The sequence below is a fragment of the Homo sapiens genome, chromosome 16 (genome assembly GCF_000001405.40).
Source record: "Homo sapiens chromosome 16, GRCh38.p14 Primary Assembly".
Taxonomy (NCBI): Eukaryota; Metazoa; Chordata; class Mammalia; order Primates; family Hominidae; genus Homo; species Homo sapiens.
This window is the reverse complement of record NC_000016.10, coordinates 46545816-46572726: the sequence shown is the minus strand read 5'-3', so window position 1 is coordinate 46572726 and position 26911 is coordinate 46545816. Positions and strand designations below refer to the sequence as shown.

General features: G+C 39.6%; 3 pseudogenes across 1 annotated transcript in view; 2 read left to right on the top strand and 1 right to left on the bottom strand.

Moving 5' to 3' along the window:
• Positions 1-394: 394 nt before the first annotated feature.
• On the bottom strand, positions 395-1280 carry RAB31P1 (RAB31 pseudogene 1; annotated as a pseudogene).
• Positions 3630-26911, top strand: part of ANKRD26P1 (ankyrin repeat domain 26 pseudogene 1) — a 99761-nt pseudogene continuing 76479 nt past the window's right edge. The window contains exons 1-6 of the transcript NR_026556.1: positions 3630-4062; positions 8428-8542; positions 8703-8876; positions 12676-12779; positions 18693-18760; positions 22193-22246. The product of NR_026556.1 is annotated as an ankyrin repeat domain 26 pseudogene 1 (transcript). The remainder of the gene's footprint in view (positions 4063-8427; positions 8543-8702; positions 8877-12675; positions 12780-18692; positions 18761-22192; positions 22247-26911) is intronic.
• Positions 16536-16638, top strand: RNU6-845P (RNA, U6 small nuclear 845, pseudogene; annotated as a pseudogene).

The following is a 26911-nucleotide window of genomic DNA, read 5'->3' as shown; positions in this document are numbered from 1 at the left end:
ACATATTTCCCAGGTTCTATAATAGCTCAAGTCTCAGTCTGAGTGATGGTCCATTGACACTTCTCTGATATCCTTCAGAAAAGTAATAAATAAAGGCTTACTTCCAAAGCTAGCTAAAAAGTAACCTCCTGAATTAAATCTGCCTTTCAGTGAAGGTTGGTTAGGTAACAAAGGCAATGGCACTGAAGAAGTTACTGAAATTTGGATAGATAGCACAGGAAATCCGAGTGGAACACCACTGTGGAATCCCATACACATAATAAGGCAGTAGGCTTTTATACAAATCCAAGAATTTTTAAAGGTTTTTAGCAAAAATGTAACTACTCTTATTACCTAATAAGTATCATCCCTCCAATGTGCATTTCACATACTAACGGCCATTTTGTGGTGGTGTGGTGGGTTTTTCCAGAGTTTTCTAAAATCTGTTTTAGGGACATTTCCTGCCCCACCCTGTAGGTCTTCCAGGATGTAAAGCCAGCTCACTCGCTCTTCTGAAAGTGAGGTGCCAGGCCACGGAGCATGGGGTCTTTCAGCAGCACTCAGGGCATGGGGTCTGGCTTCTTCAAGTGCCAGGGACAGCTGCCCTTGGGTCAACAGCATCTGTGGCTGGCTTGCATGGTTTGCTTCCCAAGTTTCATTGCTCCACTGTTTCCATTTTTGTGGGGGTCCAAGGATGAGATCTGGTGGCTGATACCTTGATATTAATAGCATTTTTTGCCCTCGTCTCAACCATGATGGCACCCACGGATTCAGCATATTCCTCAGCATCCTTCAGGGGAAACTCCCTAATATCTGAGAGATGGCACTTGTTTCAGTAATAGTCATTACAATGTTTTCTGGACCATGTTCTTTCAGCTCTTTATCCCACTTCTTCAAGGCATGAAATGAATCCTGTTTGGGTAACATCTGTATGAAATGAATCCTGTTTGGGTAACATCATGCACTGTATCAGCTGCAGCCGATCCTCCATAGCACATGAGCCAACGAATGAAACCGTTCCTGGCCAGCAGTGTCCCAGATGAGGAACTTGTGAAGGTCATTTCCAGAAGGCGCAGTTTTGGTCACAAAAGATACCTCAATGGTAGGGCTTATGTTGCGGTCAAAGTGATCCTGGGCAAATCGATACACAATGCTTGATTTCCCTACGCCAGTGTCCCCGAGAAGGCACACTTTGAGCTCCTCTATTGCCATCATGTGCTGGCTGTCAGGCTGACAGGGGCTCAGCAGCGTCCTCCCAGCCTCATCAGCATCTCCCGCCTGGGCCCTCGCTGGTGCCGCCCAACTTTTCATCTTCAAAGCCCTTTTTCTACTGCAGTTGCTTTTTCCAACAGCCGCGTATTTATCCAAGGGAAGGACTCTGATTGGTCTTGGTTGAAGCATATAAATCCCTCTGCCCCGGGTAATGAGATGCTATGACTGGTTATGTCTGCATCAAGTGCACCAAAAGGAGACGCTTTGGGCAGTCCCAAACAGTAGCTGTTATAATCCACTACAGCCTGGATTGCAAGATCGTGGGAACTTTCCTGTTTCATAGTTCCATAGGGAGGACATTTGGTTGGTCTCATTAGACTAAAAGGGGAGTAGGGTTTTCTGTGTTTCTTCTTGTTAACTTAGGACTGGGATTTCTTTGGGGATTGAAAGTCAGTTTCAGTTCTAGGTAGAGATGGCTGATTCAATGTATGCATCACTTAGCATGTTAGCGAAGCTTTGAGAGTAACAAAGAGTAAGAAGATTAAAAGAATATGTAAACTCAAAAAAAACACAAAAAGAAAGAGAAAGGAAATAAAATATGCAAAATTTGGAAGTTGAAAAGCACATGGACAAGTGGGAACTGACTTGGTTCTCCCTACTGCTAGCTTAGGAGTCAGTTTTCTCTGCTGGGAAGTGCCTGGTGCAGGAATTGGCACTTTCAGGTACTTCTGGAAGTAAAGGTAAAGGTGAGATTTGAAAAAGCAGAAAATCGGCAGGGCACGGTGGCTTAGGCCTGTAATCCCAATACTTTGGGAGGCCGAGGGTGGGGGGGGGCGGTGGATCACCTGAGGTCAGGAGTTCGAGACCAGCCTGGCCAACATGATGAAACCCCGTCTCTACTAAAAATACAAAAAATTAGCTGGGTGTGGTGGTAGACGCCTGTAATCCCAGCTAACCGGCAGGCTGAGGCAGGAGAATCACTTGAACGTGGGTGGCAGAGGTTGCAGTGAGCTGAGGTCGAGCCACTGCACTCTAGCCTGGGCAACAAGAGCGCAACTCCATCTCAAAAAAAAAAAAAAAAAAAAAAAAGAGGGTCTCTGGCCTGGCAGACACTAGGCGTAGTAGGCCACTGGAGTGCTGTACTGAAAACGGGGTTATGTGAATGGCTCCTAGTTTTCTTCTCTTTCTCCTTTTTCTTTTCTTTTTTGTTAGACAAGGTCTCGTCCTGTCACCCAGGCTGGAGTGCGGTGGTGCCATCTTGGCTCACTGCAACCTCCGCCTCCAGGGTTTAAATGATTCTCGTGGCTCAGCCTCCTGAGAAGCTGGGACTACAGGTGCCCGCCACCACACCCAGCTAATTTTTGTAGAGACAGGGTTCCTCCATGTTGCCCAGGCTGGTCTTTAACTCCTGAGCTCAAGCGATCCTCCCGCCTTGGCCTCCCACAGTGCAGGGATTACAGGCCTGAGTCACCGAGCCTGATCCCTAGTTTTCTTCTCATGCTCAGCTTCCAGGATGCCGACTGCCAGGTCTGTACTCTACGGGCAGAGGTTTATAGAAATGTTTTTTAGGTCTCCCTTCGTGGTCATTTCCCCAGAGATACTGTACAAATACTGGATGCTTTTTAAGGGAACGCCCCATGATTGACCTCTGGTAAAGCTCATAGTTGCTAAGCATCAGGGGATTGAGCCTCCAATCAGGTGGTAATGTGCTGACTTTTTAAATGGAGCAGACCGCGCAGGATCCCCAGACAGCTGAGGAAAGACTCTAATATGACACAGATGAATGCAACCCAGCATCTCCTCTGACTATTTTTCCTCCAGCAGCGCGGGCCCCGGGGTCAGTCTCAACCAAGGAAGCCAGGCCGGACTGCAGCGGCTGTGGCTGCGTAGGGGCGGAATGGGCCGCTGGGCTCCATCCAGGTGGCTCTAGGCACAAGCCAGGGGAGCGGGTGCAGGCAGGCACCAGAAGCTGCGCTGGGAGGGTCTGCTGGCTGGGCAGGGAGTGGTGCGCTGCCTACTCTGAGGTCCTCGGTTCTGAGCTCAGCAGCCTTCGCTGGCGCCCGAGCTGCAGCCGCGATTTGCAAGGAGCTCCGCCCGCCAGAGAGTGTCCTCATGGGGGTTTCCCCGGGCGAGGCCTTCAGCATCCCAAGGTTCTCTAGCTGCTCTACCCTCAGTCCTGTGTTCCCACGTGGGAATGGCGTCTTCACACGTGACTGGGGCTAGAGTAGCTGGAACTTCAGGATGCCTTCCCCTTCCGGGGAATGTCCTGAAAACTCTGCCAACTCTCACTGACGTGGGGCGGGAACGCAGGGCTGGTGACAAGCTGTCATCGATGTTTCTGACACGTGAGCCATGCACATGCGCGCTGAGAACGGTTGGCCACCTGTCGGTTGTGCGCACGCGCAGTGACGAGCTGTCAGAGGTGCGCATGCGCGGTCGGGCATACCGGCTTCGCTTGGCGCGGCTTGGCTGGTTGGCTTCGCTTGTTACTGGCTCTGACTTTGGAAACTGCGAAGTTTCCTGGTTGGAGGTGGTGGCTGACCAGAGTGGCTTGGTCTTACTGGGCCTCTGAGGCTGTGATAGGCGGACTGGTGCTGAGGTGTCTCTGATAGCCTCCGCCATGAGGAGGAGCTCTGGCTTCGGGGGCCAGAAGGGCCAGGGGCCCTCCTGCTCCTTCACCGGCTGTTGGTGTTGCAGGGGGGACGATGTCGCCGAGAGCGATGACAGCCCCTTCGCCCAGTGCGGGTACAATATCCAAGAGAAACACCTCGGCAAGCTCCACAGAGCTGCCAGCCGGGGTGAAGTCTCCAAGGTGGAGTGCATCCTTTCGAGCGGGAGCGCTGACTTGGATGAGAGAGACAAGAAGAAAAGGTGACAGGAGCTGGGGCTGGGGGCGGGGACTGGGAGGAGGCGGGTGTGTGGGAGAAGTGCCCCCTTTTTGGCGGGGGGATGCGGGGTGGGGGGCGATCCCTCCTGACCCCGGGGTCCTGGCTTTCCTGCCTCTGCAGGCTCCACAGCACCTGGCCTGGGGAAACCTTGGAGGGGTTAATTAAGTCTATACAGCACTTTATCTTGAATGGACACATTTCAAAACATATATATATATATATATATATATATATATATATATATATATATATTTTTTTTTTTTTTTAATGAGACGTAGTTTCGCTCTTTTTGCCCAGGCTGGAGTGCAGTGGCGCGATCTTGGCTTACTGCCGCCTCTATCTCCCGGGTTCCAGCAATTCTCCTGCCTGAGCCTCCTGAGCAGCTGGGATTATAGGTGCACACTACCACTCCCGGCTAATTTTTGTATTTTTAGTAGAGACGGGGTTTCACCATGTTGGCCAGGCTTGTCTCGAACTCCTGACTTAAGATGATCCGTCCGCCTCAGCCTCCCAGAGTGCTGGGATTACAGGCGTGAGCCACTGCGCCTGGCCAACATAAAGTTATATACGCTATAGACAGGTGCATAAGGAGAGCAATAATTCCCATGACATTTCAACTTCTGGGCTAACAATTCTTCAGATTATATCTAATATTTATTTTTATATAAATGTACATCTACGTAAATACGTTATTTACTGAGGAACCTTAGAAGGAAACTTTGAAGTGGGAAGTCGTTCCTGTTCTTGAGTAGGAAGATTCGTTTTTCTTAAGATGTGAGCTCTTTGTCTATCAACTTTACATAAATCAGATAAAAATATCAAAGTTTTAACATTTTAAAATTAAACTTGTTGTCTGTGTTTTACTATTATGATGACATGAAAATGTTTTTTGTAATGAGGTGAGAAAGACTGGCCTTTCTATATATCAAAATGTGCTATTAATTTCCACAAATTGTTTATTAACAACTGAAAAGACAAATGAATGAAACAGAATAGAAGATCTAGAATTGCCCAAATACATGTAAGAATTTAGAACTTGATAATGTTGACATTTTAGATTAGTAGGAAGGGTGAATTATTCATAAATGAAATGCCTGCTGTTTGGTGAAAACGAACTAGATTTTTATGTCACAGAAATAAGTTCCTGATGAAATATAGATCAAATATTTTAAGTATACAAAATAAGGAAAGTACCAGAAGAAGACACACATGCCTTTTTATACAGATACATTTTTATGTTGACAAAGACTTTCTTAAGAACTTCACAAGCAAGCATTCTGCAGGTTGATTTAGCAAAATAAAACTTAAAACACTCTGTAAATAAGAAAAAAAGACAACCTACTTGCAAAATATTTACACTACATACATATAACACACACATGTAATACATACACATCAGGTGAAAAATGTATCTTCATATTACAGATAATTCAGATCAACAAGAAAATAATTCTAAATTTGGGCAAAGTACTTCTTTTGTAGATCTATAAGTGACATAGGAAAAGATATTTAGTATTTCTTGTAAGAGAAGTAATTCATGTTAAAAAAGAAATAAAATACTGTTTCCTATCCACAAAGTTTGTGAAGATGAAGACAGTGGTACTTATATGGCTGCTTAAAGTTTAAGTTGCTGATGAATTTTCAAGTAGAGAATTTGGTGATAAGCACCACATTTAAAAAAAACATAAATGCCCTTCACTCATCAATTCCATTATACTGAAATATTTGTAAAAAATAGAGATACATCCAATTTGTTTTTCTCAGTACTGCTTAAAACCTCAATGTATTAAGAAAAACTCATATGGTGGATTTTAGAACTAAATTTCAGTGCATCCATAGGATGGAATAGTAGCCGTTGAAGGTGTGACTAGATGCAGACTTATTTTGACATGTGAAGATGTACTTTGCTATACAAATTGAGAAAAAATTATTTTGAGTGTACATACACACAGACTATGCTCTTGTTTTAGCTGAAAATATGTACCAAATATGAGTACATTTATTTCTGGGCATTTGTACTATAAGTACCTTTTTTTCTTGTCTGTGATTTCTGCAATGAGTTTGTATAAAAGTTATAGTAAAGGCTTATTATTAATGAAATAATCCTTGGGAAAAGAAGAATACATGAAACTTGCCTAGATAAAAATCATTTCTCACTTTGTATTATTTTATTTTTGCGGTTTGGTCTCTTCAGTTAACTTTTAGCCTTTTTTGGAGAAGGGGGAATCCTTTTATCTGTGCTTAAAGGTTTTATTATGAGTACATTTTCATTATATACATATGTTTTTATTATATACAGATTTACTATATATGTGAAAAAAACAGATTAAAAATTTTAGTTTAGTTGTGTCCTTATGAAAATAAAAAATAGCAAATATAAGTGATTATTACTATTACAAAAGTATTGCTTTATCTTATGGGAGTTTTCCTTAAAAATGTTGAACTCCCCAACTGTATTTTTCCATTTTTTTTAAATAAAAATAATTTTCTTTTTGAGGCAGGATCTCACCCAGGTTGGAGTGCAGTGGCACAATTATGGTTCACTGCAGCCTCGACCTCCTGTGCTCAAGTGATCCTCTCCTCAGCCTCTGAGTAGCTGGGACTGCTGGTGTGCGCACCATGCCTGGCTAATTTTTGTACTTTTTGTAGAGACGGGTGTCGCCATGTTGTCCAGGTTGGTCTTAAACTCCTGGGCCCAAGTAATCCTCCCACCTTGGCCTCTCAAAGAGCTGCAATTACAGACATGAGGCACCACGCACAGCCTCCATTCTTTCAATCGATTTATTCATCAAACAGAGGCTGGACACCTGTTATGTAGTACACATATTCTACTATCTTTCAGGATGCTTTCATCCTTAAAAACTTCATATTTACCTGCCTAGCTTGAGCAAACTGAGAGATTTAAAATTGGAGTATTATAACTTAATCTCAACTGAAGCTTTTCCTTCCTCCTTTAAGCATTTCTGAAGGTGGAAAATAGCAAAATAGAACTTTTTTTTTTTTTTTTTTTTGAGACCGAGTCTCTGTTGCCCAGGCTGGAGTGCAATGGCACAATCTTGGCTGATCTTGGCTCACCGCAGCCTCCGCCTTCTGGATTCAAGTGATTCTCTTGCCTCAGCCTCCTGAGTATCTGGGATTACAGGCGTGCACCACCACACCTGGCTAATTTTTGTATTTTTAGAAGAGACAGGGCTTCACCATGTTGGCCAGGTTGGTCTTGAACTCCTGACCTCAGGTGATCTGCCTGCCTCGGCCACCCAAAGTGCTGGGATTACAGGCATGAGCCATTGTGCCCGGCCACAAAATATAACTTATAACTACTCTTTTGAAAGTTTTTAACAGTCTTAAATGTGAATATTAATCATTGAAAGTGCCTGATTTACATCCATTCTATAAATCTAAATAGAAAATAAAATAAGCCGTATGCTTTCATTTGAATTCTGAATTTCTTTTGGCTTAAAGTGTTTTTTTTTTGAAAATCAAAGTTAGAATGAGTTTGTTTTAAACATTTGTTGTCATCTTTATTTTCAGTCCTCTCGTTCCATAGTACTTTTAAGAACTAAAATTTATTTAAATGCCATTTATATGACTAGAACGGCCCTAGATGTGTTGTATATACTAATTCTACTTATTGCAAGGCACCATGGATTCTGTGATGCCCTGTCATTTTATGTCTCAATAAGAGAATTGTTTAAATGTTGCCAATTTTAGTTGTAATAAGTCAAGAATTGTAAGTGGGATTCCAATGTCAGAGATGTTAAAATATGAGCAAGTGAGCAACTCAGAATGATCAAAATACAATGTTACCTCTAATCTTTAAACATATCTCAAAGAAGATATAATTGTATCATTTTACTTAACTAAAATCTTGTATTTGTTAAGTGGTAGTATTAGTAATAATTGTAATACCTAACAAATACTGAGCTGTTATTTGTGCTAGGAACTGTCTAAATACTTTGTACAGAGTCTCATGCAAGCATCACAACAGTGTCCTGTGAGACAGCCAGTGTTTTTAACCCCACTTTATTAATAAGGAAATCGAGGCAAAAAAGGCTAAGCAATAAGTAGGAAGTGACAGAGTTTAAAGTAGGATTCCAGTCCAAGTTGAACTGAATCCAAAGGCCAAGGTCTTTCTATTGAAATAGGCTGCTCTTTCATTAATGTAGTGAGTAATAAGAGAGAGTAAAAAGTGTGATTTCTTCATAAAAAATTAAATATTTGTTTGGAAGGCAGAGAAATCACATGCTACTCAATGTTTATAATTATATAGATGATTTTATGTTTTCAGATGATTTTATGATTTTATGTTTTCCAATAGTTTCCTAAAAATGTCGTCTCCCTCTCATAGGACTGCTCTGCATTTGGCCTGTGCCAACGGCCATCCAGAAGTGGTAGCTCTTCTGGTGGACAGAGGATGTCAACTTGATGTCTTTGACAACAAAAACAGGACTGCTCTGCTAAAGGTACATAGTAGTCAACAATTTCAGCATGAGATGGATTTGATACAAATACATAGAATAAAATAAAATCCATCATTTAAACAGAACTCATTGGTGAAACTTGTGGAATGCTTATTTTGAACTCCTAGAATTTACAATCTATTTCTTGGTCTAACACTGACAGGCGGTACAATGCCAGGAAGAGGAATGTGCGACTATTTTGCTAGAACACGGAGCCGACCCAGACCTTCCAGATGTCTATGGCAATACTACCTTACACTATGCCATCTACAATGAGGATATCCCAATGACAAAAAAACTGCTTTTACACCATGCCAATATTGAATCAGCAAACAAGGTATAGATCAACCAACTTTATTTTCAAAATATTTGAAATGCATTTGTTTTAACATTGACTTATGTACAGGTCAGTTTTCCATATTTGGAAGCTCAAGCATAACCTGAATAAAAATATTTGGAAATAACTTAATTATAAAATGTTACTTTAAATATTGATACTTTTAAAGAAGCATTAGAGGGTATATCTTTTTAAATGTATTTATGGTAAAATTTTTGAAAACACTGAATTTGAAAAGGTAATACTTTTAAATTTTTTCCTTCCAAGTTTTTTTTTCTAATTATTATACAATTACCCTGGAAAGTGAAATTTGCTCTGGAAATAAGCTTTATCTTAAAATGCCAGCAAAGCTAACACATTTTAAATAAACAGAAATCTTGATGCTGTTGATAAGTTCCTACATAGAGTAATATATATGAAAATGATTTAACTCTCAGTAGCAGGGCTTAAAAGGGAAAAATGGAAAAGGAAAGGAGAGCAACCAGAAATATGCAGGCCAATTTGGAAATTAGGTAATTGAGGGAAAATACCGAGAAGAGTTTTTTTTGTTGTTGTTTGCTTTTTGTTTCTTTGTTTCCAGTTTATGTGTCTAGACAAGATTCTTTTCAGTTTTGGGGATAATAGTTTTCAGTTTGGGAGAGAGTTAATGAGTTGTTCACTCATCTAGAGATCAATCTTAGGAGGACCGTGAGGAAACCAGTTTGGCTGTGAATAGGTGGTGATGAAGTGGGAAACCCTTAAGCAAGTAATTAACTGACTTATCCTATGCTGGCAGAAACAGCCGCTTAGATAAATGTCTAAACACTGCTCTCAAATCTAGACTGTCCTGAGGGGAAGGTGGAAGATAAAGAGCTTACAAATAGCAAAGTCAAGTTGGATTTTGAGTTTACTAGTCCCTATTCTATTCCTACCCAAACAAATTGTGTGGAGTTTTCAGTAAATGTAAAAGAGAGAGAAAAAACTCTCAGTAAATGTAAAACAGAGAGTAAAAACTCTCTTTTACTCTTTCCTCTTTTTGGCCAAATCCTCAAAGATAAAGGTAACTGGTCATGTGGTGAGAGATGATGGAAGTAATTGTCGATTGCACTAGTTCTCAGCTAGAATTGTGCATCACCATAACCTAGGGAAATATAAAAAATTCTACAAAGCTAACCTCTCCTCTGATGATTTTGATATAGTAAATCTAATAAAGCCTAGACATACATGTTTACAAATATTTCCTTGGATCCAGGCATGGTGAAACATAGCTACAGTCCCAGCTACTCAGGAGGCTGAGGTGGGGCTATTGCTTGAGGCCAGGAGTTTGAGTCTAGCCTGGGCAACATAGTAAGACCCCAGCGCTGACTAAATAACAGCAAATTCCTCAAAATTCTGATACATGTCTGGTTAAGAATCACTGAATAGGTAAGTGTAATATATAAATTGCTCTTCTAGAGTTAAGAAATCTCTAGAAGAGTTGGAGTTTGATAGGTACTACTTCCTTAAAATCTCTCCTTTTCAATAATATTAGCCCATTTTTCTTTACCTTTGTGGTTGTGAAGCTAAAAGAAATATTGTTGGCAATATCTATCAGCTTACAGAATAACACCTTTTCCTTCCCACCATTAATTATTTACTGCCATTCAGCGGGTCTTTATAAATTTGCTATGGGTAGTCTTTCTTTTTAAAAATTTTTTTGAGACAGGATCTTGCTCTGTCACCTAGGCTGGAGTGCAGTGGCACAATCAAAGCTCAGTGCAGCCTCAACCTTCTGGAACTCAAGTGATCCTCCTACCTCAGCCTCCTGAGTAGCTGAGACTACAGACATGCACCATCATGCCCAGCCAATTTTTAAATTTTTTGTACATACAGGGTTTCACTATATTGCCCAGGCTGGTCTCAAACTCTCGGTTGCTTCAAGCAGCCCTTCTGCCTCAGCTTCCAAAAGTGCTGGGATTACAGGCATGAGCTAGTACACTCAGCCTGGGCAGTATTTCACTAAGTGGAGGCTGACCCCTTCAGGACTTCACATCTCTTTGTTACCATTCAGGTAATTAGGCCAATAAATCTTTATTACAAGTGGAGTTTCCTTAACTAGAATTGTAGCAAATTCTAAACATTTTGTTGTTGTTGTTGAAGCTGTATTATGGGCTATATCAGTATGTCTGTTCATAGAGTTTTGGTATAATCAGGATGACAGTTTTAAACCCTGAAAACCATGAAGTTACTAAGAGTACAGATATAAATTCTTTTTTTTTTTTTTTGAGATGGAGTTTTACTCTTGTCCCCCAGGCTAGAGTGCAGTGGCTTAATCTCAGCTCACTGCAACCTCTGCCACCCGGGTTCAAGAGATTCTCCTGCCTCATTCTCCTGAATAGCTGGGATTGCAGGCGCCTGCCACCACGCCGAGCTAATTTTTTGTATTTTCAGTAGAGACAGGGTTTTGCCATGTTGGGCAGGCTGGTCTTGAACTCCTGACCTCAGGTGTTCCGCCTGCCTCGGCCTCCCAAAGTGGTGGGATTACAGGCGTGGGCCACCGCACTCGGCCATAAATTCTTTTAATCATTTCGTTTCAGCATTCCTATGAACTAAATATCTATTTGGCTAACAATCTCAGAAAACTACTTACTAACAGATTTTAAATGAATAAATGCTAGAAAAATTACTGAAGTGGGTAGTGTGAGTCTTAGTAGCAAATTTTATTATATGTTGGGAACTGTTTTTTTGGTAAAACATCTGAAACTAAAGAAAAAATATTTTACATGCAAATACTTACTTTATGCACAACCATTTGGCAACACACCCACGGCAAGTTTAAAAATGCAAGGGCTGCGGTCTAAATGTGGCCCATAGGTATGTTTCACTTGCCTTCATAAATTGTGTCAACAGGTAAAATTTAGGAGACTTATATACAAATCTGGATTTTAGGCTTCTCTTAAGAACCAAATCTGGTGTCCCTTGAGCCCACATCACTGTTTGGTCTGATGTGCAGAGGTTACCCCTTTCTATGAGGCCTGTGTTCTCTAGTTTGCTGTGGTGCCCACCTAGGTACCTCACTTAGGTCACCCCCTTTGCCCTTGTAAGCATTTGACAACTCTCGTCTTACAGTATATTTTGATAAAGATGTCAAGGCTTTCAAGACAGTTTCTATTTGTTTATAATATATAGCCTATATTTTATATAAATCCCTTAGCACCAGAGTTGAATTTTAAAATTTAGAAGTTTAAAAAAAAACTGCTAAATTCTATATTCTTTTTATTTATGGTAAATATTCTTTATATTTAACTCTCATTTTTTATATTTGCCATAAATAACCACCTTCTCATTAGCGTCCCTATAAGCCTTTCTAGGTTATTCTTAGCTGTAGCTGGATGTGTTACACATCTGGTAAAGTAAACATTCTTTGCAATGCAGCTTAAGAAACACTAGACGCAATAATTTAGATCATTAATAAAAACGCTTGAAGCTTTTACTAATATGTCTTAAGATTTGGGAATATAGAGATAAAAGGTAGAGCCCCTGCCCTCAAGAAGCTCTTGGTTTACATGGAAAACAATAAAATCATTACAATATACTATGTTAAGTGCTGTGACAGAAGTGAAGATTATTGGAGCTGGTATTGAAGTGAGTTTTGGAGATGACCAGAGTTCATGTGGTGAGGTGGAGGAGAAGGGGTTTTTCCAAGGGAAGGAACAGCACACGGAAAAGCAAAGAAGAATAAAAAGGAAGGGACTTACTTACTTACATAAATATAAAGTTTCCAGCTCAGTTGAGAAATATGTAACGTTGTGAATTATCAGTTGCTCTTGCCGTTTTACAGGATGAACTCACACCATTTTTGCTAGCTGTACATGAACAAAAACAGCAAATGGAAGACTTTTTAAGAAAGCAAAAAGAAAATTTAACTGCAGTTAAGCTTGAAAGGTACAGTAATTAGTTCTTTTTTTAAAACCTGACTGATATTCTAGAGTGATAACAGTCTCTCTAGTTAGAAATACTAGATTAATAAGAAGATTAACTTGTAATTATTGTGATATAGTAAAAAATATCAACACAAATCATCGGTTAAGTAGAAAAACAATTATTTGGACTGGGCAACATAGAGAAGAGTATATAGTAGGATTCATCTTCTCTTATTATATTGACTGGTGTTTGTTATTTGTAATGTGATGTTTTTGGTCATGTGACCTGACCAAAGTGTTTTTATATTGGTTTTGTTAGTTGTATGAAATGTAGATTTTAACTTTTAGTATACTTTAAGATTTAATAAATATTGAACTTCTTAACCCTTTTATAGTAGTTTTTAACCTCTGCTTCTTATATGCTCTTCCTTTAAACATGCTATATTAGACATAAATAGGAGTTGAAAATCATTTTTTCTTCTAGATGACTCTTTAAGTTGCTTTCTTTGAAAAATAGTAATGTTAAGTTATCCCTATGTGGCTGTTAATTGCTATTACCAGATACCGTGGGTTCATTAGTTTTTTCTATTTCATTTCTAGTGTATTTTGATGTTTTTATTTTATTTAATTTATTTTTTTAGGCAGAGTCTCGCTCTGTCACCCAGGCTGGAGTGCAGTGGTGCAATCTCAGCTCACTGTAACCTCCACCTCCAGGGTTCAAGCGATTCTCCTGCTTTAGCCTCCTGAGTAACTAAGACTACAGGCACATGCCACCATGCCCAGCTAATTTTTTGTATTTTTAGTAGAGATGGGGTTTTACCATGTTAGCAAGGATGGTCTTGAACTCCTGACCTCAGGTGATCCACCCGCCTCGGCCTTCCAAAGCGCTAGGATTACAGGCATGAGCCACTGCACCCGGCCCTGATGTTTTTATTTGTAATTGCTATGGGCAGAGGAAGAAAATATAGCTTTAAATGAATAACTTCTTCTTCTAATGAAGACAAGCCATAGGTGGGTGAAAAAGAGAAAAGAGCTAGGCTTTAGATTCACACAAGACTGGGTTTAAGTCCTAGCTTTCTCACTTGCTAGAAATGTGACCTGGGAACATTACTTATCACCAAATATGTTTTTCTATATGAAAAGGAGGATAATAATATATCCTTCAAGGGTGGTTGTGTGGAAGAAAGATTTATATATATATATATATATATATATAAAATTTAGTTCAGTGCCTAGCACATGTGTATCGGCATCATTAACTGAAACTACTATGATTATTATTATTGTTACCGTTAGTATTAGTATTATTGTTTCCTGCCTGCAGATGGCTCTTACTTATCTGACCCCTAGCTGATTTTGAATTACAATGTATCTGTCTTTAAATCTTTGCCTACATTAGATAAGGGATCTCAGCATAGTTTCTTGCTCATCAAAGGACTTTAAGTTAGCAACTTCTATGATATAATACTCTACTGGGACAAGAGGCTTTTTTTTTTTTTTTTTTTTTTAAGCATTGGTGGTAATTTATGAAGATGAACACTTGAGCACCCAAGATGCTTATGTTTGTTAGTACATGTAAATGTTTAATTCTACATGGACAGGCAAGATATTAAATTGGTATATTATATCAAATTAGCTTTTTAAATAACTTTCTTAAAGTTCCTAAGAAAGAATTTATCTCTCTGGTGTTTTAAAACAGCCCTCATTCTTGCTGTACATTGTGAATCAGCAAGAATAGTCAGCATTCTTCTTCAGCAAAATGCTGATGTGTTTTCCCAAGATATGTCTAGATGGGCTGCAGAAGATTATGCCATTTTTAGTCCTTTTACTAGGCAAGTTTTTATATTAGAAGGCTAGTTTACACTAAATTGAGGCTTAAAATAATTATAGCTATTGCATCCTATACATCAGGTGAGATTTTATAGTTTAATTCAGGTCGTTTTGGAGTGACAGTGAGTTAGTCCACTTTATCAGCCAGAAATCAGGCAAAAGGCTGGACTGGTTAGAAGTATCAATGGGTGCAGAATTCTTTATCTCAGGACTTTTGAGATCTTTACCTTAGAGATCCCAACATTGTCCCTTTTACTCCAAGTATAGCCACATGCGTAGGATAAAAATAGTGCCACATCTCTGATTTCTCTAATTAATTATTTGGGTCTTGAAATGTTCAGTTTAGCAGAAAATCTTGTATGGTCTTTTGAGGGCTATCTCCTATACCCTCCTCTTTCAATTTTTCAAGAACCTAAGGGGTTTCCTAAGTCCAAGAAGGATAAAAATGACAATCTTTTACCGGTCAGAAGGAAGGGAAGAAAAGGACATTCTAATCATTCTGTTGTTTCCTTTGATTCTTTTCCTGCATTATTGCCGTTAAAAGTGGTTCTGCAGTCTGTTAATGCTTGACTTTTCCCACCAGGATTCGCTTACTAATTCAGAGCCCTCAGTTTTCATGGTGATTCATACATAGACTTCATAGCTATAACTTTTTTTAGTTCACATACATATATGCTCAGCCATTGTTCCCAAAGCACTAGCATCCTGCTCTGACAGCTGGGCATCCTAGCTTTAGCCACACACATAGTGAGAAAATTGACCAACCTTAGCCAGGCGCGGTGGCTCACGCCTGTAATCCCAGCACTTTGGGAGGCCGAGGCGGGCGGATCACGAGGGCAGGAGATCGAGACCATCCTGGCTAACACGGTGAAACCCCGTCTCTACTAAAAATACAAAAAATTAGCCGGGCGAGGTAGCGGGCGCCTGTAGTCCCAGCTACTCAGGAGAGTGAGGCAGGAGAATGGCGTGAACCCAGGGGGCGGAGCCTGCAGTGAGCCGAGATCGCGCCACTGCACTCCAGCCTGGGTGACAGCGAGACTCCGTCTCAAAAAAAAAAAAAAAAAAAGAAAATTGACCAACCTTCCCCCACACTCGAAACCTTCTGTGGAGCCCACATCTTAGCTTAGACTTAGCTGAGGCATTCGTGGTAAGTTATCCTTTGAGGCCCTTGTTTGTCTTTTTTCTGTCAAATAGTAGTTGAGATTGTTCTAAACTGTCAAAGAGGTTAAATAATGTTGCAGAAAGAGATCAGTGTTTTCTTACTCCATTGTTACCAGATCTGTACTCTGAGGCGCCTTTACAGCTGTTTAGCACATTTTCTTAGGGAGTGGAAGGTTCTATATTATCCTTCCCTAGAGCAGTGGGTGCCAATTTGTGTGTTTTCTTTTTCTTTCTTTTTTTTTTTTTTTTCAATATGTGGTTTTATCCTCAAGCAATCTGTTTTCCATAATAATGAAAATCTCCCAAGTTACTTGCATTTCTTTTCTTTTCTTTTTCTTTTTTTTTTTTTTTTTGAGATGGAGTCTTGCTCTGTTGCCCAGGCTGGAGTGCAATAGTGTGATTTCGGCTCACTGCAACCTCCGCCTCCTGGGTTCAAGCAATTATCCCACCTCAGCCTCCCAAGTAGCTGGGATTACGGGCATGCGCCACCACACCTGGGTAATTTTTGTATTTTTAGTAGAGACGATGTTTCACCATGTTTGCCGGGCTGGTCTTGAACTCCTGACCCCAGGTGATCCGCCTGCCTCAGCCTCCCAAAGTGCTGGGATTACAGGCATGAGCCACCATGCCTGGCCTAACGACTTGCATTTCTACCTCAAGTTTTAAAAATATTTTCATATTCTACCTCACAGGAAGCCATTCAACAACAAAGTAGGTTTATTGGGTTTATCAGAGCTAAGTCTCATCCATGACTCATGAGTATTCACGTGTAAAGTAGGTTTTGTCTTTGCTTCAGCAGCACACATCCTAACACTGGAATAATACAGAGAAAATTAGCATTGCTCCTGCATAAGGATGACACACAAATTCATGAAGTGGTTCATATTTTGTGCAGTCCCTGGAGGTCATTTGACAATTTTCTGACTAGCTCCGAGGAAACAGCATGAGTCAAAGCAAAATGGTTGGCACTTAATATTGAAATTGTGATTTTCACTACAAAAATATTCACATACAGTGATCTATGGAATGAGAATGGAGCTGAGTAAAACATGGGATGTTGTGTGCAAATATATTGTTAGTATGTGTCTCAGAAATGAGAAAAATGTCAACTTGCATCTCCTTCATGGAACTTACAAAAAGAGTTTTATCTTTTATGTCAGTTGGAGGTGAACATGGAGATTAAGCATCATTCTAACAAAGATCTACTGGTTCAGAGTTTGAGTCTGTAAAGAAGGAATAGTAGTCCAAGGCAGGTCTTAATATCTATTAGTTTTTTGCCTTTGGTATGATCGATGAGCTCAGTAACAGTAGACAATTAATGTTATCTAATTTAATGAGATAATAGGTTTATAAATAAATGTAGTTACAAACTATGAAATATATGAGATGCCCTAAATTAGAAGCCACAAAGAGTAGAACACCTAATAAACAAAATTAGGACTTAATAATATTTCCCAAGTACCACAACATTTCAATATTAGAACCTACAAAAAATACGCATTGGATATTATTTGCAGTTCCAAGATAGTTTCACCAATAAAGTTCAAGAACAAATTATTTCATTGCTTCGCTATTTTTCTGAACATTCAAAATACGTTATCTCAAGTTTTTATAACAACCTAGTAAAACAAGACAGTAAAATTCTCACTTTTTAGAAGAAGACATTGAACCTAACAAAAGCAACTCATCCAAGAACTAGTAGCTTTTGGTTATGGAGCTAGGGCTTATTCTGAGTTAAGACACTTTCCATTATTGTCAGGCTTGTAGGGTCCAGCCCCACAGGGTCGGTGGGTTTTCTCCCCGTGTGCGGAGACGAGAGAGTGTAGAAATAAAGACACAAGACAAACAGATAAAAGACAGCTGGGCCCGGGGGACCACTACCACCAAGATGCGGAGACCGGTAGTGGCCCAGAATGCCAGGCTGCGCTGATATTTATTGGATACAAGACAAAGGGGCAGGGTAAGGAGTGTGAGCCATTTCCAATGATAGGTAAGGTCACGTGGGTCATGTGTCCACTGGACAGGGGGCTCTTCCCTGCCTGTCAGCCGAGGCAGAAAGACAGAGGAGAGAGACAGCTTATGCCATTATTTCTGCTTATCAGAGACTTTTAGTACTTTCACTAACTTGCTACTACTATCTAAAAGGCAGAGCCAGTGTACAGGATGGAACATGAAGGCGGACTAGGAGCGTGACCACTGAAGCACAGCATCACAGGGAGATGGTTAGGCCTCCGGATAACTGCAGGTTATCAGTCAGGCCCTCCACAAGAGGTGGAGGAGTAGAGTCTTCTCTAAACTCCTCCGGGGAAAGGGAGACTTCCTTTCCCTGTCTGCTAAGTAGCGGGTGTTTTTCCTTAACACTGACGCTACCGCCAGACCACGGTCCGCTTGTCAACGGGCGTCTTCCCACATGCTGGCGCTACAGCTAGACCAAGGAGCCCTCTGGTGGCCCTGTCCAGGCATAACAGACGGCTCGCACTCTTGTCTTCTGGTCACTTCTCACTATGTTCCCTCAGCTCCTATCTAGAGTGAAGATTATTATAATATTGGAATAAAGAGTAATTGCTGCAAACTAATGATGAATGATATTAATACATAATCATATCTATGATCTGTATCTAGTATAACTATTATTTTATATATTTTATTACACTGGAACAGCTTGTGCCCTCGGTCTCTTGCCTTGGCACCTGGATGGCTTGCCGCCCACAAGGCTAATGCAAGTTAATTTACTGAACTATACTGCCTTCAGTTCATGAGTACTTCATGTTATTTTTGCTTAAAGAGAAGTTTGTAGAGCTTACAAATGGGAAGTGTATGGGATAATTAAAATTCTAAAATTAACACTGATATCATTTGAAATACTCTAATAATTTAACATTTTTGGTAATTATTTTTATATCAGTTTTAAAATAGTAATTTTACTTATTTCGTTTTTACACAGCATTCACCAAGTAATGTCTGAATACAAAGAAAATGAGACACCTAGAAATCCTCAAAATAGCAATCCAGGTAAGACTTCTGGTAGTAAATTACTCTTGGTGGTGTTACCATAGATTAACAAATAAGAGCAAGGAAGTTTTAATCACCAAAGAGTAGTTTAAAAGCTCACTATGTAAACTGCACATATACATACACACACATATATATATATATACACACACATATACACATATGTGTGTGTGTTTTAAATTTCTTTTTAGTAGGTTAGATTTCAGATTTAAAAAGTTGTGTGTAGATAATTTATAATCTCAAACAGTATTATCTGAAAGGAATCATTTCTTTAATTGTAGTCCCTAAAATCTTATATGATTTTTTTGTATAAATAAGAAAAAAGATTTTTAAGTTAGTATGTGGTATATTTTATTTATAGTCTCATTATAACAAACTGGATATGTTATGAAATTGGAGCTTCTATTTAATTTTTAAAATAAATGGTTTTTATTGCCGGGCACGGTGTGGCTCATGCCTATAATCCTAGCACTTTGGGAGGCTGAGGCGGGTGGATCACCTGAGGTTGGGAGTTCGAGACCAGCCTGACCAACATGGAGAAACCCTGTCTCTGCTAACAATACAAAGTTAGCTGGGCATGGTGGCGCATGTCTGTAATCCCAGCTACTCGGGAGGCTGAGGCAGGAGAATCGCTTGAACCCGGGAGGTGGAGTTTACCGTGAGCCAAGATCATGCCATTGCACTCCAGCCTGGGCAACAAGAGCAAAACTCCATCTCAAAAAAAAAAAAAAAAGGCTTTTATTTAGTAAATAAATGTCAATTACAGTTGACCTTTGAATAACATAGGATTTAGCAGTACTGACCCCGTGTGCAGCTGAAAACCTGTGTGTAACTTTTGATTCCCCCCAAAATTAGCTACGAATTAGATGACTATTGACCAGGAGCCTTATTCATAACATAAACAGTTAAGACATTTGGTATGTTACGTGTGTTACTATACTATATTCTTACAAGAAAGCAAGCTAGAGAAAAATGGCTATTAAGAATATCATAAGGAATAAAAATATATTTACTATTTATTAAGTGGAAGTGGGTCATCCTCATGGTCTCCAAGTTGAGTAGGCTGAGGAGAAGGAGGAAGAAGGAGATTGGTCTTGCTGTCTCAGGTGGCAGAGGTGGAAGAAAATCTGCATATAATTAGACTGCTGCAGGTTAAACTCCTGTTGTTCAAAGGTCAACTGTATTACATAGTGATTTATGTCACTAAAAAAAGTAACTTTTTAAAACTGGGAACTCAACAATACCTTTCTGGTACCATAAACAAATGTCAATAAGAACTGTAAAACTTATCCAGTGTGCACTAATACTAATAGAAAATTATTTTTTTTGAAGATACCAAGTGTAGAAGTCAGAAAAGCATTTTCTTGTTGAAAAGCACAGGTCATGTTACATATTCTTATACCAACAAGGTCTCACTTATTGACTTCATTCTTCCTAATTTGAAATTGAATGAGATACATTTACTTCATTAGAACAAGATAAGTTCTTCTCTTCACTAGTTAATTGTCATGATAACAGTAATTTTGTTAGAACAAAACACTTTTACCAGTAGCCAAAAGGTTATTGTAACGAATACCAGAAATAGTTCAACTCTAGGCTCAACAAATTATAATAAAAGTATAAAAGTGCTTCGCAATAACAAAAATGCTACTATGCTACCTAGATGTGACACCAAATACATTGTACAGTCTGAACTGTATGAGGACACTTTTAGTTTAGTACATATTAATCGAAGAACTTTTTTTTTTTTTTTTTTTTTGAGACGGAGTCTCGCTCTGTTGCCCAGGCTGGAGTGCAGTGGCGCGATCTCAGCTCACTGCAAGCTGTGCCTCCGGCGTTCACGCCATTCTCCTGCCTCTGCCTCCCGAGTAGCTGGGACTACAGGCGCCTGCCACGACGCCCGGCTAATTTTTTTGTATTTTTAGTAGAGATGGGGTTTCACTGTGTTGGCCAGAATGGTCTCGATCTCCTGACCTCGTGATCCGCCCACCTCGGCCTCCCAAAGTGCTGAGATTACAGGTGTGAGCCACCGCGCCCGGTCTAATCGAAGAACTTTTACAAGTTAGATTTTGCAAGCTACAGGTGAGAAACACGTAGTCTTGGTCTTTAAGGTGCTCATAATAGACTACAGCTGTCCTTATTTCATATCTGTGTGTTTTTTCAAGATTCTTTTTTTTTTTTTTTTGAGACGGAGTCTTGCGCTGTCACCCAGGCTAGATGCCATCTTGGTTCACTGCAACCTCTGCCTTCTGGATTCAAGCAATTCTCCCTGCCTCAGCCTCCTGAGTAGCTGGGATTATAGGCACCCACCACCATGCCCGGCTAATTTTTTTTGTATTTCTAGTAGAGATTGGGTTTCACCATGTTGGCCAGACGTCTCGAACTCCTGACCTCAGGTGATTCACCCGCCTCGGTCTCCCAAAGGGCTGGGATTACAGGTGTGAGCCACCGCACCTGGCCAATAATTTTCAAATAAAATATTTTTATTCATTTATACACTTGTCCATTTAATGAATAAACTATCAAGAGTGTTTTAGGGAGTAAGCTTCTTTTGTTTTCATGTTACAGAATACAAACATTTAAAAATACAGTCAGGGGCTGGGTGTGGTGGCTCAGGCCTGTAATCCCAGCACTTTGGGAGGCTGAGGCTGGCGGATCACCTGAGGTCAGGAGTTGGAGACCAGCCTGACCAACATGGTGAAACCCTGTCTCTACTAAAAATACAAAAATTAGCCAGGTGTGGTGGTACACGCCTGTAATCCCAGCTACTTGGGAGGTTGAGGCAGGAGAATTGCTTGAACCCAGGAGATGGAGGTTGCAGTGAGCCGAGATCGCCCCACTGCATTCCAGCCTGGGCAACAGAGAGACTCTGTCTCAAAAAAAAAAAAAAAAATACAGTCAGGGCTGGGCACGGTCACTCATACCTATAATCCCAGCACTTTGGAAGGCTGAGGCAAAATAATTGCTTGAGCCTAGGAATTTGAGGCCAGCTTGGGTAACACAGTGAGACCACAACTCTACTAAAAATAAAAATAAAAAAATGAAAAAGTTAGCTGGGCGTGGTGGCATGCACCTGTAGTCCCAGCTACTTGGGAGGCTGCATTCCAGCCTGGGCAATGGAGCAAGACCATCTCAAAAAACAAAACAAAAACAAAACAGTCAGGAGTTTGTTATGATCATTTTCATTTATATTATTTGCTACTTCATTCAGTGCCTACTACTATGTGCTGGATGCCGTCTGGAAGTGTATAATGATCACTTATTATGTTAAATATGTGCCAGACACTTGAAGAATGTGGTGAGGAATGAAAGCTGTTAAAAAGTGGGTAGGATTTCAGGTAAGCATGCAGAAGGGGTAGAACTTTTCTAGGTAAAGAGGCAGAAGGATGATGTGGGCAGAAGGAACATCTGACAAGTTTTCATGTTTGGCAGAAGGAACATCTAACAAGATGGCGTGCTTGGGAGAAGGAGCAGCAGGTGCAAAAGGTAAGATGCTTGAGTGAACTTTGCAGGGTTTATGAGCAGTTCTATTTTGCTGTTGCAGAAACTGAGATGGGAGTGGTTGGGAATAGGGAAAAACCTAGGTAAGGCAAGCTCATGATAGACTTTTTAATACTTTATAGTATTAAACTGAGTAGATCTTATCCTGCAGGCTATGGGAAATTTACCAGGTAGAGTGCTTTGGGCTGCAAATACTAAAGGACCTAACTAACAGTGACTAAAACAATAGGAAGCAGAGTTGCTTTGGTGGGTGGTTCAGTGATAACACTGGGTCCCACTTGGTGTCCCTGTTTCAGCTGTGCTGTTTTGTACATGTCTCCTTTCATGGCTGGCTAATTAGCAAGAGCTCCAAATATCATGTTCTCACAACACAATTTCTGAAGGCTGGAAGGGCTGCTTTTCTTCTCATGTTTCTTTGAAATAGGGAGAAAACTCAGAAGCTTGCAGTGGGCTTCCTTTCACATTTTATTGGCTTTGTTACACCAAATGCTCATTCCTAAACCAGGCACTGGGAAAACAAATGTAATGACCATGATTAAATTAGAATAGTTATTTCTTTTGTTGGGGATGGGGAGGGAGTATTAGGATGATAAATATTCAAATAGACTTGTGGTTCTCCAGCAAGAAAGATAAGGAATGGTCATCCGGTAGGGAGGCAGCAATGTTTTCTGTAGGAATTCATTATAGAATTGTGAGCAGAAAAGTCACAAGATTAGATTTGAGTATTAGGACATTCTGATTATGGTATTAAGAAGCTTTTAATGTAAAGAACCAGGTGGGAAATATTTCAGGCCACGTGGTCTCTGCCATATCTACTCAACCCTGCCATGGTAGTGTGAAAGCAGTCATAGATAATATGTAAGCAAAAGGCAGGACTGAGCTCCCATAAAACTATTTACAAAACCATTAGGCAGGCTGGGTTGGACCTGCGGCCTGCAGTTGGATGATTCCTCATATGGAGGATAGATGGAAAGTACCACATAAAGAGACTGTAAGACAAAGGAAGCTTTTGCAGTAGCCAAAGCTATAGCTTCCTTGTCACCAATCCTTGGACTAGCATCAGTCCATTATGAGGGTTTCACCCATCCGTGGTGAAATAAATGATGTTAGAAAGCTACTTAGTAATTTTAAAATGTTGATCTTTCTCTTGGTTTTTGCCTTTTTCATTTGTTTTGCTTGTTTTTTTATTTAAGAAATAATATTAATTGTTGGTAGCCTATAAAAGCCAGTAGTTAAGAACCAGTGGTAGTGGAAATATAAAGCAGAGACAGAGAAGAGACAGAGATAATATGAGTTAGTGATTATTGGATATACAAATTTAGGGCACAGAGAGAAATCTCAGATGATTTACCGGTTTCCAGGTCATGAACTAGCATTTAACCTGGACATGAGGAAGGAGTAGGAGATTTGCAGGTGAATGGAGAAGAGCAGCAGATCAGCAGGAATGACTAACCTCTTTCTGTGCATGTTGAGTTAAATGGAATATTCACGTAGGATATTTTCAGTAGGTAATTGGATTTTAGGCATTTCTAGCTGGAGGTAGAACTGAGGTTGGAGCTGCAGACTTGGAATAACGTAGGCAAGGTCATAGATCTGAATGAGCTTGTCCATGATAGGAAAGACGTGGAATAAACAGAAGGCCAGTGGCAAGATCCTGAGAATATCAACATTTCCCAGAGGAAAAGAAGTTAGTAAAGAAGGCTGAGCAGTGGCTAGAGAAAAGTAGGAGAGGTTATCAGAGGATGAGGTGTTGCAAAAATATTTTAAATGTGAGAATTTCAAGGAGGGGGAATATAAATTCTAACAAGTAAGATTACTAAAAAGTAAGTTAAATTAATATTTTAAAAGCTCTTTGGTGGTGCCCTCTTCAAAAGAACACTTTTAGAGTTGTAAGGTCTACTATTTAGGTACATGGCACTTCCGGTGTTCAAGTATGGAAGACACCTACCACGATCCTACCTAATTCTTTTGTAACTGCAGCAGCTACCTACACAGAGTCAGGCCTAGACTGGTGAGTTCCTGTGCCAACATTTTCCCAGAATTGTCAGAACCTAAGGGTCCTCATGAGGAAAAGTGTAATCTTTCTTATCTGGTTTTTGGGGAAATGCTTGTTTTTTACTCAAACCCTTGATAAGCTCTTCTGGATGTGTTGCCAAACAAAAACCTGACAGCAACAGCTGGAAGCCATTATCAGATACTCATATCCTTCCTCTGACATGGAATCAAAATACAGCCATGCTTTGACAGAATTTTAAGTTTTGATCAGAAATAGTTTGCAAATCAGCAGTTTGGATTTCTTTTAAATGATTTCTTTTAAATATTTTATTGCAGAACACTAATGTAATATCACAGAAAAATATGAGGTGATATGCGTACATAGTAGTTCTCAGCATTTTTGGAATTCTGGGGACATCAGTAGGGAAGTCAGTACCTGACTCTATTTATTAGTGTAATTTCGTTTTCATCTTCCCTCTTGTGATATCTCTGCTTTCACTGCTTCCCTTTGAATTTCATCCCTAAACAAAAAAGTACTATTAGAACACATTTCTAACATATGTATATTCGACCAATGTCTATTATTTGATTTTAAAAGAATTGGCTACCTATCCTAAAGTATATATGGTATTCTGTTACTTTCTAATGCTAAATAAACTTCTTTATATCTGACAGGGTGACTGATGATGGTCTGCCGAGATTTTAAGTGCGTCCTGGATTGTCAAATACAAATTGTTTTATTTCACACAGTTTAAATGTAAAATGCTTTTCTGGAATTACATTTCTTCGGAAATTAGTAACTGTGATTTAATTAGATTATGTGGGCAATCAGACTATCACCATTTTAGTCATCTATATACAAGATAACTTTCTTCCCCCTTCAATAAGTTAAAAGTCCTGTTGATCCTTAATAATCAAATTCACTATTTGGCAGGAACAATGAAAAACTCATACTGTACTTTGGATGCATTTCTTGGGCATTTTGACTTGTTCTATTAAGAACTGACTTTAATAGGTAAAATTTTTTTTTGTTTTATAAAAAATTAAGAAAAAGATTGAAAACAAAACATAACTCTATGATCAGTAGTACAGTATTATAGTATATCTGATGGCTATATGTTATTCTACAATTATCACAGTTACCTGAATGATACACAATCTTTTATTTATTTATTTAGTTTTTTTAAAGAGATGGGGTCTCACTATGTTACCCAGGCTGGCATGCAGTAGCTATTGACAAGAATGACTGTGGCTTGAATTCCTGGCCTCAAGCAGTCCTTCTGCCTCAGCCAAAGGAGCAGCTAGGACTACAGGCATGTGCCACTGCACCCAACCAGATGCATGATCATTATAAAAATGAATGAAGCCCTGCTGAGTTAGAGAAAATTACGATGATCTTTTAAACACTTTTTCTAGAAACTTTTGTATTGTAGAACATATTGTGAATCATCAAGGTTTCTAAATTTATTCTGGTCAAAATAGGATTGTTGCTTGTTTCACATTACTTTCTTCCATCATTGTTTTATGTATTTGTTGATACCTTTCATCAAATGTTTATAGAAATATAGGAATCTGAAAGGCAAATATGAAAAAATAAAATAAAAAAAACATTAGGGACAGATGCTCTGCAAAGCAACCTTCTGATTGTAGTTACATATAACACATCAAATAATAAAAATTTTCTATGATGCAGTTGTTTCAGAGACTCCCAAGACCACCTCAGGTTTGGTGATTAACTGAGAAGGACTCACAGCTCTTAGCAAATATTCATACTCAGGGCTTTGATTTATTACATTTAATACAATAAAATGGTACAGAGAAAAATTTGCAAAGGGAAAAGGTGCACGTGGTGAAGTCTGGAGGGAAGCAAACACAAAGCTCTAGGAATCTTCTCCTGTGCAGTTACCAGAATGTGCTTAATTCCCCCAGCCTCAGATTCTGACAACACAAGTTGTCTACCAGTAGCAGATTCTCACTGAAGTCCCAGTATGCATGTTTTTGATGGAGGCTAGTCACATAGGCATCCTCTCCCTCACATATACCAAAATTCTAGACTCCCAGAAGAAAATCAGCTGTTCAGAGTAAGCTACATTTGCACAAACAGTTTAGGCACAGCGAGCCACTCTTCTCAGTAAGGGAATGGTGAGAGCCCTCCCAAATCCAAGGTCCCAACACCAGCCCAGGGCCATTCTTGTAATAAGGCCTTTCTAAGGATGGTGGTCTCATCTCATGCCTACTGTATAAAATCTTTGCTGTGTGGTAGCTATGGCCCTGGCATAATTTTTGGTGTTGTCTTAAAATTTTATTTTAACAGCAAATAATATGATATAACATAACATGGTACTGGTTTCAGTTGCATTATTCATATTAAGTTGCAATGCTGCTTACAGTTTTGACATTTGGTGAAGAGTTGGCAGATATTTGTACAAAAGTTACTATGGCAATATTAGGTCATTATGATCTGTCCTTATCTCATTAAACTTTCAGTAAAATTGTTGGATAAAATAAGCATAATAATTTTTGATTCAAAATTAAAGTAAAAATTATCATTTATCCTAATTATATGGATGGACCAGTTTTGATTCATGTTGTGTTAAATCCCTGCTTGTAATTATGAAATAAGATAAAATATTCAATCATTTTTATCCATTTTTT